We start from the raw sequence: 17,684 nt of genomic DNA, 5'->3' as shown, positions 1-17,684 counted from the left end.
TTAAATTGAAATGTGATTTTCTGCTAATTCCAGAGTATCTCAGAACACAGTTTAAAAGCTCCTGCTCTCTGAAACCAATACTAATACTGTAACTATCGCACAAAATGCTGTAAGGATGGAAATAAATACATGTGAAAAGTACTTATAGCACCTTGCAAGTTCTTTTTTCTTTTTTTTCTTTTGTTTTGAGATGGAGTCTTGCTCTCACCCAGGCTGGAGTGCAGTGGCATGATCTCAGCTCACTGCAACCTCTGCCTCCGGGGTTCAAGTGATTCTCCTGCCTCAGCCTCCCAAGTAGCTGGGATTACAGGTGTGCACCATCCACACTGAGGTAATTTTGTATTTTTAGTAGAGATGGGGTTTTGCCATGCTGGCCAGGCTGGTCTTGAACTCTTGGTCTCAAGTGATCCACCTGCCTTGGCCTCCCAAAGTGCTGGGATTGCAGGCGTGAGCCACACCTTACAAGTTCTCAATAAAACTTATTAGCATTAAGTGGTAAGGCATTTTATTTTAAAAGATTTCTACTTCCAGCCATCCTGTTTATTGACCCATCTTTGTTCAGTCATCTTTTCTTTTGAGGACACCTTGGGGATATGTGCTCTGCATCCTTTCCCATGGTGTTAGGTTGATTTTGCCTCCTCTGCTTCCTCTTTTGATCTGCGGTCTACCTTTCTGAGCTAGCTGGCCTTTTGTTTGTACCACCATTAAAGTTCTACTTTACTATAGGTCTTTCTTTGTCTCCCTTACTATATTGCAGCATTTGCACTTTTATAACCACTAAAGCACCTAACACCATGCCTTGTTCATTTAAGATACAAATGTGTGTACATTTGTGGAATTGAATTGTGGCATTATTTGTGTGTATGTAAAGTGCTATAGGGAAAGAACCAGTATAGATCCCCCCCAATCCATCTTCTTCCTTAAGAAATAGATTGAAACCAATTGTCAATGTAAAGTCTCATGAGATCTGCCCCTTTAAAAAGCATGCTTACTGAGGACATGGGTATCTTGCCGAGAGACACCACTTGATTAAAATGTAAATTAGGTTATTTAGAATTTTGTAACTGAAATCTAATTGGAATCATTTTGAAAGTTTTCTTGCAATGGAGACATCAGATGCTATGGAATGCATGTGTTCAAATATCTTACCATTTTGAATTTAGGATTGTTTCCAGTTCACTTTTTTTTCCCCAGATACTAAACATTTTGAAAGGAGTAAATTAATTATGTGTCTCTCTTCCTCTCAGCTGGTATATTTTTGATTTCCATAGAAATCTTTCAGTTTCCCTAAAAAGGTAAGTGTTGTCACAGTGATTGGCACGCTTAAGAGTTAGTGATTTTGGCTACAGAAGAGTGATGCCTGGGGCAGGGGGTGAGTGGTACCCGGATACAGGTTTAGAACAGTTTCAATTTGGACTCTAATATTAATTGGTTTGAAGTAACTTCTTGGTTGGGTTAGACAGATATTTGATTTGTCTGATGTGTTCTGAAGTCCAAGTAAGTATGGCATGATTATTTGTTAATAGTTACTACTATAGAATTGGAAAAGCCTTCTAAGTTGAACTTCATGGTTTACAAATCACAAGTGCCTGGTCTTTAGTGCTGAATGGAGGCAGTACTGACTCAATAACCAAGCTACTCTCAACTCACTTTCCTTGTAGTAGGAGTCTGACTGGAGCGGAGAAGAGAGGAAAGGGGGAAAGAAACAGATAGTTATTATTTGCAGTGAATGAGAGTACTCGCTTTGCAGTTATAGGCTTGGTTTGAATTCTGGAATTGCCACTTTTTAGCTATATGACCTTGGGCAAAGTGTTTAAAAATTTTTAGTCTACTTTTCCTCATCTTCCAAATGTGGTTAATAACACCCACCTCATCAGGTAGTTGTGGGGTTTAAGTCAAACAACATGTATAAAGGGCCCAGATATGTGTACAGTATCCCTTGATAAATAGTACTGCAAATTATTCCTACTTTTGTTTCTCTCCTTAAAGAAATCCAACTTCCAAATGTAGAACTTTCTGTTGCTTAAGTTAATGCTGAGTTGGTAATCAATAATTCTTTTGGATCACAATGTTTTCATTAGAAATGAGCATCTAGGGCCGGGCGCGGTGGCTCACTCCTATAATCCCAGCACTTTGGGAGGCCAAGGTGGGTGGATCACTTGAGGTCGGGAGTTCAAGATCAGCATGGTCAACATGGTGAAAACCCATCTCTACTAAAAATACAAAAGTTAGCTGGGCGTGGTGGCAGGTGCCTATAATCCCAGCTACTAGGGAGGCTGAGGCAGGAGAATCTCTTGAAAGCGGGAGGCGGAGGTTGCAGTGAGCCAAGATTGTGCCACTGTACTCCAGCCTGGGTGACAGAGTGAGACTTTGTCTCAAAAAAAAAAAAAAAAAAAAAAAAAAGGGAATGAGCACCTTGGTTTAGCACTTTACTGCTCCACTCAAGCTGTAGACATTTTAGGAACACATGTTCAGGTATGGTTTGTGTTCTTGATTGTATGGGACATGAGATCATGGCTCAATAAATGAAATCAAAACTTCCTTAGATGTGTTCTGTGGAACTCCAGAGTTTTCAGTAACATTTTAATGGCATATGTCTCCAAATTTGCCTTTATTAAATCCTACAATGGATACATTTGTGGGGATTTTGTAGTGCTGTAGTGATTTTTGTGTCTAGACAAAATCTCTAACTTTGGTTTCTAACCCTAGGGACAAACCAAATGACTTAGTGGCTAAAATGATGGACTTCAGAATCACCTTAGACCTGGTCTAGCCAGACAATGCAGAACTGTTGTTCTAGTCCCTGGCGCCCTCTTACTTGTTGTGTTAGTCTTACTCGCTGTAGACAAGTGACAACCTCTCTGAGCTTCAGTTTTCTAATCAGTTGAAGGGGGATAATGGTAGTTCTTTCCTTAAAATGAAATGATAGAGCTTAGATGAGATGAGATAATACGTATAAAGCATTCACCAAGTTCTTAGAACATAGTAGGTGCCTAACAGATAATCCTGTTTCTCCTTGTACATCCCCTCTTCCCTCCCTCTCCTTCTTGTCCTTATTTTCTCCTTTTTTCTCCACTGAGTTTTTAGAAAAGGAGAAAACTAGAGAGGTGAGCTTCAGGAAAAATATCTTTATTTCTGGATTGGCTTTGATTGCTGTGATTTTAGGACACGGACTATAGTTGTAGATGTTGCCCTGGCTGCGTATCAACAATGACTTCTTTTCCTTGATGTTTCTTCACAGGAAGGATCAGAATGTTCTCTCTCCAGTCAACTGCTGGAATCTCCTCTTAAACCAGGTGAAGCGGGAAAGCAGGGACCATACCACCCTGAGTGACATCTACCTGAATAATATCATTCCTCGATTTGTACAAGTCAGCGAGGACTCAGGAAGACTCTTTAAAAAGGTACAGAGATATTTCTTCACAGAGGTTCTTGGGTGGAGCAATGACACAATTTTTAAAATCCTATTAGATATTATGTTGATTACCTGGGTGACAAAATTATCTGTACACCAGACCCCCATGACATGCAATTTACCCATGTAACAAACTTGCACATATACCCCCCTTGAACCTAAAATAAAAGTTGGAAAGAAAAAATAAAAGAAAGAATATCTTATTGGCCCACTTCATAGGCTTTCCACTAGTCATTCCCTACCACATACTTGTGGAGAAAAAAATTATTTGAATTGGCATTCCTTTCTTCCTTTCTGAGCTGAATTAATAGTAGCCTTGGGAAAGGAACCATTTGCAAGGTATAAACCCAGGGCTGGTACTATAATTCATAATCTGCATCTATTAACAAAAACTGTGTTTTGGGAAGTTTTCTTAAAGTGATTTTTGAAGCTGTTGAGCTTAAGGGGCCAACACTGTCATTTTATGTTTTCCTATTCTAGTTCATTTAGCAAACTCATATACGTTTATGTTTTTAGTTTAGTTTTCTTCCCAGGGTCTTATCTTGGCCAAGGTAGACTCAAAAGTGTGGTTATTCTTATCGTGGTATGTCTTTGTCTTTGGGTCTCTGAATGCTTTCGGAACTCAATTGTTATCGTACTTCCTTGGGTATAGGTTGAACAATTTGACAAAGGAAAACTCAAAATAATCATGATAATCTTAAGGACCCAATTCACCTTACCTGTCAACGATGGAACCAGCCTCTTGAAAATCCAGGAAGCTCTTTTCTAAGCTGTCTCAGCTTGAGCTCAAAGTGGAATCATTTATTCATGAGGTTGGGTTACAGACAGCGGTGAAGGCCCCAACCATTGTATATGATATGTCATGTCTACCATTCAAGCATTGACATCCCCGGAAGACTTTCCAGAAGGCAAATAATCTTCCTAAAAGTTATAGGTAGAAAAAGATTATAGAGGGCTATTTAGAATTCATCAGTTTCCAGGTGACAAAATCCATTATTAAAATTTGAAAGTATGAGAGAAAAGACTGGTAAACAGGACTGTAGTCGATACAGTCAAAGCTCTTGATCAGCTTTCCAGTTCTCAGGAATTTTTCCAGATTTCACTAGATCTGGAATTAATACCCCATTTTTTTTCTGTAATTACCAGCCTGATCAAATAACTGATTTGGAATCTTCCATCTACCTAATTGCATCCGTGAAGGTGCTTTCCCTGTGTCTTAGAGACAGAATATTGAGGGTACAATCATCTGACGACGAAAAGAAGGCAGAGAAAGATAACTCCTCCCAGAGCTCACTGGCTATTATTAGTAGCCCGGCTGTGCTGTGGTTGGGGCCACACCTCATTTTGGAGTGAGGGTACTTCTCACCATCTCCTCCATGGTTTCCAGCATCAGCTTCAGCTTGGTTGTCATTAATTTGAATTATTCTGCAATACTTGGTGATGCATGTGTGTGACTAAAATTAAAACCTATTTAGGTGAAATTTTGACAGCTCGTCTCTATGACCTTGACAGCCACTTAGACTATCTCAAGAAGGAAAGGGCTTGACTGATAGTTTCCTCCTCCGTTTTCTTTGTTCATCCGAGAAAACAACTTTTATAAGATCTGTTCACCTAGCTAGACTTCACTCAGTCTCTCAGCTCCCTTTTTACCAAGCCTTAGAAGGTTAGAGAAAAACCAGGCTAGATAATTTAATAGCCTCTCCAGATCTCAGAGATGCTTATACTGAAGGCAGCCAGATAGCAAAGTCACGAGTGTTCCTGGCTCTTCAAGTGCCCTATGCATATTTCACCAAAGGTAGGTACATGGCATGTATACAAGGTGTGGGGCATATGACATCCATGAAGAAAATTCGTCTGTGAATGATATTCCTAGCCATGGGCTCAGGGTTGACTTCCTTAAGCCGTGTATTACTATGCTAGAGCGTGAGGAAGAACTTATTTCTCATAGGACTGTTTATATATTACATTTCACTGAAGAAAAGTATGCCTATTATAATTTAATAGCTATATGCATTTTCACAAACTGAATTCACACTTGTGTAACCAGCACCCAGATCAAGAAACAGAACATTTCTGTACCCTAGAAACCCCCTCATATTCCCTTCTAGTCATCTCCCCACCCTAAATCCCCAAGGATAACAACTGTCTTGACTTTTAACAGCAGAGATTAGCTTTGCTTGGTTTCATACTTTATATAAGTAGAATTGCACAGTATGTACTCTTTTTTGTTTGGTTTCTTTCAATATTATGTTTGTGAGATTTATTCATACTGTTGTGTATAGTTGCAGATCATAGGAATTTCTCTTGATCTTTGTAACTTTGGATCAATTAAATTGTAGTTGATTAGAGACATGCCCAGGGTTGTTGAATGGCCAATGATTACTATCCCACAGGGTGAATAATCTCTTTTCTCCCTCCCTTGGGGCATTCCCATGTAGGCAGAAAACTCTTAAATTAGGAGCTGGTTGGCAGATCATAAAAATAGATTGAGCCAAGCACCATGGATCATTCCTGTAATCCCAACAACTCAGGAGGTCAAGGTGGGAAAATGCTTGAGGCCAGAAGTTCAAGAACAACCTGGACAACATAACAAGACCTTGTCTCTAAAAAAATTTTAAAAGTTAGCTGAGCATGGTGGCCTGTGCCTGTAGCCACAGCTACTTGGGATGCTGAGGTGGGAGTATTGCATGAGCCCAGGTGTTTGAGGATGCAGTGAGCCGTGATCATGCCACTGCTCTCCAGCCTGGGCAACAGAATGAGACCCTGATAGTTTGAGGATGCAGTGAGCTGTAATCATGCCACTGCACTCCAGCCTGGGCAACAGAGAGAGACCCTGATGGTTTGAGGATGCAGTGAGCTGTAATCATGCCACTGCACTCCAGCCTGGGCAACAGAGGGAGACCCTGACTCCTAAAAAAAAAAAAATTGATTCATTCTCTTTTGGCTGGGTAAAGAGCCTCTCTGCTTTCTAGTAATGGGCAAACAAACATTCTTCATACCACACCCCAGTTTTTTAACCTCTTTTGTTTAGAGTGTCCTTGCACATGAATTAGAATCCTACTGGTTAAGATATAGTATCAGATAAGAGTCCTAAGGAATGTCCTCAGCCATTCTGTAGTTACATGAATCTTCCCGGGGATTTGCTTTGTGCTATCAGAGGAGATGCCTTTTCCAAGTGACCCTTTCTCTTGGGCCTAGCTCTGCTCTTAACTCTGAGACCTTGGACAATGACTTCTTTCTGTGCCTCAGTTCCCTAAACTTTAAAAAAAGAGTGTGGTCTATGTGATCTCCATGGTGCCTTCCAAATTCAGGATACCACTGTTCTGTGACGATAAGGGGATCCTACACTGGGGGCTTCCTTCTGGTTGTTAGGTTACCTTTGTTAAATTGTGATAGGTAAATTTTAATCCCACAGATAAGGACAAACAAAAGTGGATATAGGTGTGGAGAGGGCTAGCTTAAGCAAATGAAGACCAGATTTCTTGAAGAATGAAGGATTATTTCAGGTGCTGATATCTACAATGTCAGCAATAAAGAAATACCAAATTGGGATCCAAATACATAAAATAGATATGTTTTACCAGTAAATTTGGTTCCAGTGGCAAAAGGACCCATTTCTCTGGGGACATAGGCTTAGAAAAGATACCTTAATTTGTGGTATGGCTGTACACACCTGTGCTTTATGTGAATTTGGGTCTGTTTGTCACTAGCAAAAGTCAACATTTTTAAAAATCTTTTTTTAATCTATAAAACTTAATGATTCACTGCAAAAATTATGATAATAGAAGTCATTATATTTTGAACCTCTATGTGCCAGGTATCGTGTTAAGCACTTTATATGTATTATCTCCTTTAATCCTTACCGTAATTTTATAAAGTAGTTACTATTGTCATCATCGCTGTTTTATGAAGGAAGAAACTATGGCTTAAAGAGATTAAGCAGGCCAGGCACAGTGGCTCAAGCCTGTAATCCCAGCCCTTTGGGAGGTTGAGGTGGGAGGATCGCTTGAAGCAAGGAGTTCAAGACCAGCCTGGGCAACATAGCAAGACTCTGTCTCTACCTCCCTCCCCCACTTAAAAAAAATTAGCTAGGCATGGTGGTACACACCTGTAGGCCTAGCTACCCAGGAGGCTGAGACGGGAAGGATCACTTGAGCCCAGAAATTTGAGGCTGCAGTGATCTATAATCATGCCACTGTACTCTAGCCTGAGTAACAGAGCCAGACCCTGTCTGTTTAAAAAAAAAAAACAAAAAACAAAAAACAAAAAACAAAACAGAGGGCTGGGAGCGGTGGCTCACGCCTGTAATCGCAGCGCTTTGGGAGGCCAAGGTGGGCAGATCACCTGAGGTCAGGAGTTCAAGACCAGCTTGGCCAACATGGTGAAACCCCGTCTCTACAAAAACACAAAAATTAGCCAGGCAAGATGGCCAGTGCCTGTAATCCCAGCTACTCAAGAGATTGAAGCAGGAGAATCTCTTGAACCCGGGAAGTGGAGGTTGCAGTGAGCACAGATCATGCTGTTGCACTTCAGTCTAGGCAACAGAGCAAGACTTCGTCTCAGAAAAAAAGAAGAGAGAGAGAGAGATTAAGAAAAACGAAATGAAGCTAACGTTTAACTCCAGTCACCTGGCTCTAGAATCCAACATTTTCATCTACATACTGTATTAGGATTCTCTAAGTATGTTGTACAGAGAAGAGAAAATCCTGGATTTTCTCTGTTTCATTGAATTCAGATATTTCACTTAGTTATAGAATTAACCTAATTTTTCTTTTGCACATAAACCTTCAAAGGGTATGGAGATGTTGAACATCAACATTGGATTGTTTTTCCTACCTGGGGTTGGGGCAAGCAGCTGGAAGTTGGGAATGAAATAGGGCAGCATGTTTACACTCCTCAGGGGCAAAATATCTCTGCCCCCTGTAAGAGGGAAACAAGGACTCATTAAATGTGAGAATTGGCCCCAAATCTGGCTCACAGCTAATTTAGCTAATTTAGGGATGTCAGGGTGGCTGCACAATTGGCCCCTCTATGCTATTGAACCCCCTTAAGGGAGGCTCCTTGCTAGCCCTCTGGTTTGTGGTAATGTCTGCTGGGACATATTTTACATTTTGCATGAAGCCATGTTGGAGATTCCTTTAGCTAAATATAACATCTGGAGAAAGTAGCCTCCTGTTCACAGCTTAAAAACAGACTGACTTTGTCTAGGACGAGAGGGAAAATTGAGCCCGTTTGGTGCTCCTGACATCTCCTTTCATGTAATGAAAGCTCAGTCTGTCTAACCTCTGTTGGAACCAGGATTTGGGCAAATATTATTGCTGCCACCTTCATTTGTTTAATGCGGTGGCTTCAAAAACCATGGGCAAAAACTGCCAAGTTTGACTCCCATCTCCCTGTGGTCTCCATGAGGGGCATGTTCTAAAGAAGCCCACCAAGAACAGAAATAATTTTTCCCACTTGCTTAGTTTAAACTGAAATAAACTTGGGTGTGCTTTTTCCTACAGGAGAGAGGATAATCCTGTTTTCTCTTTTTACTTAGCTGGAACACACTAAAAGTACCTCTGACTTTGCTTTCTCAAATCACTGTTTCTAGCCCTTCACAGCTGCTCACACTTAAGCTTGGAAGCTGGTCAGTTCAGACAGTGCTAAGGCTCAGTTGCATCCTTGTTTTTACAGCACTGCAGTGAACTGTACTCCTGTTTTGCTGTTAGGACTCTTAAGTTTCTATGGCAAAAATTTAGGTTAAATTGAAAAAGCCAAGTCAGATTCCCTATAGACCAGTAGCTTTCAACTTTGCCTGGGCATGAAAGTTACTTGGGGAGTTTTAAAAAAATCTTTGTGACCTTGAATAAACAAAGGTTTCTTAGAATATAAAAAGCATGAACCATAAAATTTTATAAAGGATAAGTCAGACTTCATCAAGTCTTGGACTTTTGTTCCTAGAAAGACTTTATTTACAAAATGAAAGACAAGACGCAGACTGGGAGAAAATATTTGTAATATGTATCTGACATGGACTTATATCAGATTATAGAATAAAGAACTCTGAGAACTCAGTAATAAGACAAACTACCCAAATTTTTAAAAATGGAAACAGGTTTTAATAAACATTTCACTAATAAAAATATACAAATGGCTAATCAACACATGAAAATATGCTCAATATCATCACTCGTGATGGAAACGCAAGTTAAAACTGTAAGAAGATATACCATACATTCACTAGGATGGTTAAAATTAAAACATCTGGCAATACCAAGTGTTAAGGAAGTTGGCCAGAACCCTCATATGTTGCTAGTGAGAGTGTGAAAGTGGTACAACCACTTTGGAAAATAGTGGCAGTTTCTTATGACATTAAATTTGTACTTGTCATATGACCCAGTAATTCCAGGTATTTATAGGCATCTACCCAAGAGAAATAAAAGCATATGTCTAAACAAAGACTTGCACCTGAATATTCATAAAGCTTTTGTGATAGGCTGAGTAATGCCTCCCTCAAAAAAAAAAAAAAAAAAAAAGAGGTCCATATTCTAACCTTTGGAACCTGTGAATGTTACCTTATGCATGTAATACTTTGCAGATATGACTAATTTAAGGATCTTGTGATGGGGATATTATGCTTAATTAGCTGGGTGGGCTGTAAATGCAATCACAAGTGTCCTCATAAGAAGGAGATTACAGATAAAAGAGAGGAAGGTCATGTGATAGAAGCAGAGGGAAACAGAGTCATAGAGAGAGGATGCTATGCCACTGGCTTTGAATATGGAGGAAGTGGCCATGAGCCAGTGAATACAGCTCTAGATGCTGGAAAAGGCAAGGAAACGGATTCTTCCTGAGAGCCTCCGGAGCAGAAGCAGCCCTGCTGACTCACTGGTTTCAGCCCAGTGAAATTGGTTTTGGAGTTCTGACCTCCAGAACTCTAAGAGAACAAATGTATGTTGTTTTAAGCCACCATGTTTGCAGTAATTTGTTACAGCTGCCTTAGGTACTTTATTCATAATAGCCCAAACTGGAAACAACCCAAATGTCCATCAACAGATGAGTGGAAAAACATATTGTAGTGTATCCATATATCAATACTACTCAGCAATAAGAAGGGAAATGCTGATACAATATAAATGAGCTCAAAAAACATTATGCTGATAAAAAGAAGCCAAGCACAATGAGTACATTCTGTATGATTCTGTTTCTATAAAATTTTAGAAAAAACAAATCTGATCTATAGTGATAGAGAATAGATCATTGATTGCCTTGGGGCCAGGATGGGGATGAAGGATTGACTGCTAAGGGACACAAGGGAGTTTGTAGGGTTTTTATAGCCTACATTATATAACATTTTAAACAATGCTTTATAACATTTTTATAATGTTACATAATCTTGACCATGGTGGTACATTAGACAGACTTTATCATATTATACACTTAAAATGTGTACATTTTATTATGTAAATTATGCCTCAATAAAGTTGATCTAATTTAAAAAATACCCATGCCAAGACCCTACCCCAGCATGATTTAGTCAGAATCTCTGGAGTAGGGCCTGGGTGATTGTTGCCTACAGCTAGGGCTGAGAATCACTGCTGCACTGTTTTCCATCTTGGGGAAACTGCAGAGCACAGAGAATATCTGATGCCCTAAGATCCTGTCTATCTGTATGTGAGCCATGTTTGCCTCTGCAACAGACAGTGTTAAAGCATCTAGGCTAGTTTCTCTAGGCAACCCATTGTGGTTTCCTACTTTATTCTTGGAGGGTGATGAAGGGTGAAGTTAGCTTCAGATAAATAAATCTGGTGACAAAGGGTGAATCTGGCTTCCTTCACACTGCAGGAAGTGGGGAATGCAAGAAGAGTGCTGAGGAAGGAATGTAAGAGGCTCAGTTAATACTTTTCTCCAGGGTCTTGGAGATGTTAAACGTGTCCTTTTGCCATTAGTGAATCAGTCACAAGAGAATTGCCACAACAGTCAGATTTCTTTTGGCACTAAGGAAATGAATCTGGTAGTTAAAAAGGATAAATGAGATTTAAAACTAAAAGCAGTGCATGTTACCTATCTGTTTGGTATCCGTTTGGACTGAGATAGGATTTCCTATGGCGTGTCTTGAGTCCAGCTGTTTGGCATGTGTGAGAAGAGTGGATGATGAAACTGTGAGAAGGCATTTTGGGTGGTGTGATGGTCATAAATAAGAAGAGGAGAAGTGGTGACCCACAATGCTGGTATAGTTGAATGTCCCTGGTAAGTGCTGTGGATTGAATGAATGGAGGAAAAGAATGGTTTTCCAAAGGTTGTGTCCCTGTGCTCTGCCCCCTTAAGAAAGGGTTTAACTCTTTGGGAGAAGGAGTAGATGAGTGATTTAACCCTCCCTCCCTTCCCCGTCTACCATATCCCTCCTGCTCGTCTGAACTCAGTATCTGTGATTGGACTGAATTTCCTCCACATTATAGCATGGTCACTAACAGCGTTTGCACAGTGCTTTACAGACAGCTGTTCCAGTTGCCCAGTTTATCTTGTTGGTAGCAAAAATCTGTTCTAATTAATTGAGCTTTATTCTCTCATATCTGATGAAAAGATCCTCTTTGGAGAAAAGAATAGAATGTGAAGCTGAGCTTATTTGAGTAGGGGATGGAAGGCTGCCAGCTACTTCAAAGGTATCTCTGCTGATAAGGGGCGTCAGGTTTGCTGCCAAAGCCAACACCGAGGGGAGCTTTGCAGCTCGTGCTGTTGGGGGTGTTTTAGCTTTGGTTTCTGTGACACTGGGTCAGCAGCATCTGTGTGCTCTCCCTTGAGGCTGCTCTCTGGGTGGTCCAGGCTTTTATTTAGACTTAGGAAGGTGCAGCTCAAAGGGAATGTGTGCATCAAAGATGTCTGTAGTCTTTTGCTTAGGTTAGTTTGTGTGTTTGCCTTTTTGGTGTTTTAGTTCTTAGGTATCTGCCTTTTCTAAAAGAGCTCAAGGTGCTATATTTAGAACTTTCAAAAGTATAATAGTACTTCGATTTGTATAAATCAAAGGATTATTAAGGGAATCTGAAGACGAGGAATGGAATATGGGAAATGGAATATGGGAAAGAGAGGTGCAGTAGACAAAAAATAAAAGTGTCCATATGCAACCTTGTATTGGAATACTACCCTAAATTAGGAGATTATACAGTCAATAAGTATTTTAGTGAATACTGCATGCACAGCATTATGCTGCTAGGTGCTTAAAAGAGCTTGAAAATCAAATTGAGGAGTAAGATTTGCCTCCCAAGGGAGCTTGGGGTTTTTGGTTTATTTAGGTCTCTCAAAACTTTCTGTGGGATGATGATGATGACAAAGTAATAATAGTAACCTTTCGTAAAATTCACACTGTGAATACCTCCCACTGTAGTAGGCCCTAGATGTGTATTTTCTCTGAACCTTTCATCTATTTTTGCAAAGTTTTTTTCCTAAACTATTTATGAAAGTATAAAATACTTAGAGAAAGTACACATATTATAAAGTGTACAGCTCAATGAATTTTTACAAACTGAATACAGCTATGTAATCAGCACCCAGATGAAGAAAGAATGTTACTAGTATCCCATGAACCCTCCTTCTCTCCACTTCAAGTCATTACTCTCTGAAGGGTAACCATTATCCTGACTTCTAACACAATATAAGTATTTGCCCATTTAAAAATTTGTTTGTGTAAATGGAATCAGATAATTTTTTTCAACAACTTGAATATGTAATTCACTTGCCTTCTGGCCTCCATTATTTCTGATGAGAAATCAGCTGTGGTTCTTAGGTTCTTATTATTGCTTACTTGTATGTAATATATCATCTTTTTGTTTGTTTGTTTGTTTGTTTGTTTGTTTGTTTTAAAGAGATGGAGTCTCTGTCCCCCAGGCTGGAGTCCTGTTGCATGATTACAGCTCACTGTAGACTCAAACTTCTGTGCTCAAGCAATCCCAGTCCTTCCATCTTGGCCTCCCAAAGTGGTGGGATTACAGGCGTGAGCTGCCATGCCCAGCCCTTCTTTATTTGGCTGCTTCCAATATTTATTCATTATCTTTGGTTTTTAGTTCTTTGATTATCATAAGAGTGTAAGCGTGGTTTTCATTGTATTCCTTTGGCTTGGTTAAATATAATATCCAGACAATCCCTGATCTGTCAAATATCTAATTTGTAGAAATTGTAGGAAAAATATCAAATTTTTCCTCAATTTGAGAAAAATTTTTGGCAAATATTTTTTTCTGTCCCATCTCTCCTTCCTGTTTTGCTTTGTTATCAATTGCATGTATGTTAGACTACTTGATTCAGTCCCACAGCTTGTTAATGTTCTGTCCATTTTTTTCAAATTTTTGTTTTCTGTATGCTTTAGTTTAGATGATTTCTAAAGTTTACCAATTTGGCTGGGCATGGTGGCTCACACCTGTAATCCCAGCACTTTGGGAGGCCAAGGTGGGTGGATCACTTGAGGTCAAGAGTTTGAGACCAGCCTGGCCAACATGGTGAAACCCCGTCTCTACTAAAAATACAAAAATTAGCTGGGCATGGTGGTACATGCCTGTAATCCCAGCTGCTCAGGAGGCCGAGGCAGGAGAATCACTTGAACCCGGAAGGTGGAGTTTGCAGGAGGCTGAGGCAGGAGAATCACTTGAACCCAGAAGGTGGAGTTTGCAGTGAGCTGAGATTGTGCCACTGCACTCCAGCCTGGGAGACAGAGCAAGACTCCATCTCAAAAAATAAATAAATAAATAAATAAATAAATAAATAAATAAATAAAACAACCAATTCTTTCTTTTGTTCACCTAAGATGCTATAAATGCCATCCAATGAATTTTTTTTATTTCAGATTTTTTTTTTTTTTTTTTTTTTTTTTTGAGATGGAGACTCACTTTGTCACCCAGGTTGGAGTACAGTGGTGTGATCATAGCTCACCCTACCCTCAGACTCCTGGGCTCAAGTGATCCTCCCACCTCAGCTTCTCATGTGTCTGATACTACAGGTGTGTACCATCATGCTTGGCTAATTTTTTTAGAGATGGGGTCTCGCTGTGGTGCCCAGGCTAGGCTTGAACTCTGGGGCTCAAATGATCCTTCCCCTTCAGCCTCCAAATTATTGTATGGATATTTTTAAAACATAGTTGGCAATTACTTAAAAATTCTTGTTTGCTATTTTTAACATTGACATTATCTGTGGGTCTGTTTATTGATTTTCCTCTTGACTTTTTTTTACATGCCTACTAATCTTTTATTGCATATTGGACATCATAGATAATATGTCATAGAAACTCTAGATGTACTTATCTTCCTCTGAAGATTATGAAGTTTTATTCTAGGAGGCTATTAAATTACTGGTTGATCACCTTGATCTTGTGGGGGCTTGGCTTTATACTTCATTACAGTGGGTATATTTTGGTTTTGCCCTTCGTCTTAGAAAATACTGTATACTTAAGGCATGGCCTTTCTGGGGTTTCCATGGGAAACCCAAGATGTTTATCAAGCCCCTCTAACTTGGCAGGCTTTGAATGCCAAATTCTATCTTCCTTACAGTGGGCAGCACCTAAGACGACCAACTATCCTGTTTGCCTTGGGCTGAGGGGGTTCCTAGGACATGAGACTTTTAGTTTTATCTGTTCAACTGTTGATGGCATTTGGATAGTTTTCAGTTTGAGGCTATTATGTATGTTATAAATAATGCTGCTATGAACATTATAATGGGAAGTTATTCTTTCCAGTGTATGGTTGAACCTGGTCACAAGCCAGGCTTTAAGAATAGTGAATTCAAAACCTTTTCTCTCTCTTTCTCTCTCTCTCTCCTTCTCTCCCTCCTCTGTCTCTCTCCCTCCCCCCCTTCCTTCTCCCCTCTGCCTTCTCTTCCCTCTCCTTTCTCTCTTCCTTTTCCTCTTTCCTTCTCCCTCTCCTTGTTTCCTCCCTCCCTTCCTTTTCTCTATTCTTTTGAATAATCTTTTAAATTTTATAGTAGATGTATGTTATAGAAAATTTAAAAATACAGAAAGCAAAAATATGATATAAAAAACAGATTTATTGTACATACTATTTTGTAATCTACTGTTTTAGTCAAGACCTTCTCCTTTACATTTCAATAAACTTTTGTCTCATCTAATACCCAGGCCATGTAAAGATTTAATTAATTACTCAAAAAATCTCTTTGACAACTAGTTTGTCCAAGCCAGTATCTAATGCACACAGTTTTATGTCCCTTAAGTGTACTTTAATCTAGTATTATTTTCTTTCCATGAAACTGATTTGTTGAAGAGACCAAGCCAGATGTCCTGCAAAATCTCCCATCTTCTAGATTTGTCTGGTTGTTTACTTGTGTTGTTAAGCTTCTGCCCGTATCCCATATTTCCTGTAAATTGGAAGTTGGTTCTAAAGGTCCAAGTGGATTCAAGTGACTTAGAATGCATAATAAGTGATGTTAGTACTTCATGTAGCATCAGAGCAGGAAATACATAACATCTAGTTAGTCTACCGATAGTGATGCTAATATTGGCACCCTCTAGAATAGGGCTGTGATAGTCTGACCCTTCCATTTTCTAGTTACATTTTTTAAATCACATGATAGAAACCTGATTGTAAGGTGTTATTCATGGTGCCAGCCTACAAATATTGGGTGCCAGTTCAGTCATTCATCTGATAATTTTAGTATCAGTTGATAATTTTAGACAAGTTACTTTTTGTCATCTCTGTACCTCTCTTACTTGACTATAAGATGCCTCTCTGAGGCTGGGCACAGTGGCTTATGTCTGTAATCCCAGCACTTTGGGAGGTGGAGGCAGGTGGATCACCTGAGGTCAGGAGTTTGAGACCAGCCTGACCAACATGCTGAAACCCTGTCTCTACTAAAAATACAGAAATTAGCCAGGCGTCGTGGTGTATTCCTGTAATCTCAGCTACTCAGGAGGCTTAGGGAGGAGAATCACTTGAACCTGGGAGGCAGAGGTTGCAGTGAGCCAAGATTGTGCCATTGCACTCCAGCATGGGTGACAGAGCAAAACTCCGACTCAAAAAATAAATAAATAAATAAATAAAATAAAAATGCCTCTCTGAGAAAAGGAGAGGATTGTTAATACAGCTCATCAGGCACCATGCAAATAGTAGTTTGTAAAAACGTATTAGTCTTGGGAGAAACCACACACACGAATAGTGTGCAAGCTGACAAGGTGTCAATTTGTTATTATTAAGAATCACAGCAATAATTTTTTTAAAAAAAGCATAATTCTAAATGAATGCTAACCATGCCTAGGGACTGTGCTAGGTGTTTTACATGTATTAACCTATTTAATCTCATCACAACGACACTTTGAGATGAGTACTGGTTTTATCATCCCCATTTGTAGATAAGAGCATGGGCAAAGGGTTTAAGCAATTTACTGAAGATTATACAGCTGGTTGATGGGAGAAATGGGATTCAAGCCTAGGCAGTTGGCTTCCCCTGATCTCTTCACATCATCATGCTCTGCTGCCTTGCATGTAGGAAGGTGGCAGTCATATTGGTAAGCTAAAGAACCAGTGCTTGTGCAGGGAATTAATGACTCATGCATTCTGCAGTCATACGTTGCTGTGCTTCTGTCAGGTCAGAATTTCCATTGTGCTATTCTGATTCTGCTTCTTGCCCAGCTTGTCCAGAGAGAGAGTAACACCTTTGACTTTAGCCTCCCTTGTTGCAGGACAGGCTTCTGTTGACTCCCCTATTTATCTTTGTCAAGACTTTTCCTTTGAATTCCTCCCTGCTTGTCTGAGCATGATTTTTATTTAAAGTGAGGACAAAATTTAAGTTTTCCTCCTTTTGACACAGCGTCTTCAGTTTTTTTTCATTTTCATCTTCTTTCCTTACAATACTGGACTTTCTCTGGTCTTTTAGTTTTTCTACTAGATCCTACCTTTCTTTGCTTTTAAGCCCAGCCCTTGGGGTTTTTTGTTTTGTTTTCTTTTTCTTTTTTTCCTTTTTCTCTGTTCTCTACAAATCATTTGGGTCTACATCCAGCTTCTCCCAGCATTTACTCAATATGAAACTTCCAGTTATAGATTAATTTGAATTCTTTGCACTAATTGTTTAAAAGACCATAGGAACCTCAGACCATCCCTCTTCATGGTCTCAAGAGCTCCCAGAATCATCCTCTTGGTAAGCTAAGTAGTTATTAGTAAGGCCCAGGGACAGGACTGAGAAGTAACATCTTCTATTTTTTATTTCAGTTTTCCTTTAATTTGGAAGCAAACAAACAAAAAACCCTTCAGCTTAGGGTTTTTTCAATTGTTAAAGTAATACTGAGCTTCAGTTAAGG

The 17,684-nt window shown here is 39.6% G+C and overlaps 1 protein-coding gene across 11 annotated transcripts in view; it reads left to right on the top strand.

Annotated features, from left to right (window-relative positions):
* Positions 1-17,684, top strand: part of SRGAP2B (SLIT-ROBO Rho GTPase activating protein 2B) — a 208,093-nt gene that overhangs the window by 136,538 nt on the left and 53,871 nt on the right. For 7 of the 11 annotated variants that reach the window (NM_001385227.1, NM_001366280.2, NM_001330684.2 and 4 more), the window contains one exon: positions 3,242-3,404. The exons of 2 other annotated variants lie outside the window; for them this stretch is intronic. In NM_001385227.1, coding sequence (NP_001372156.1) covers positions 3,242-3,404 — 163 coding nt within the window. Of the gene's footprint in view, positions 1-1,247; positions 1,296-3,241; positions 3,405-17,684 lie in introns of all 11 variants that reach the window. 2 more of the 11 variants (XM_047428007.1, XM_047428008.1) reach the window with 1 other exon arrangement.

Source organism: Homo sapiens, chromosome 1 (genome assembly GCF_000001405.40).
Source record: "Homo sapiens chromosome 1, GRCh38.p14 Primary Assembly".
Taxonomy (NCBI): Eukaryota; Metazoa; Chordata; class Mammalia; order Primates; family Hominidae; genus Homo; species Homo sapiens.
This window is presented reverse-complemented; position numbering and strand designations above follow the sequence as displayed.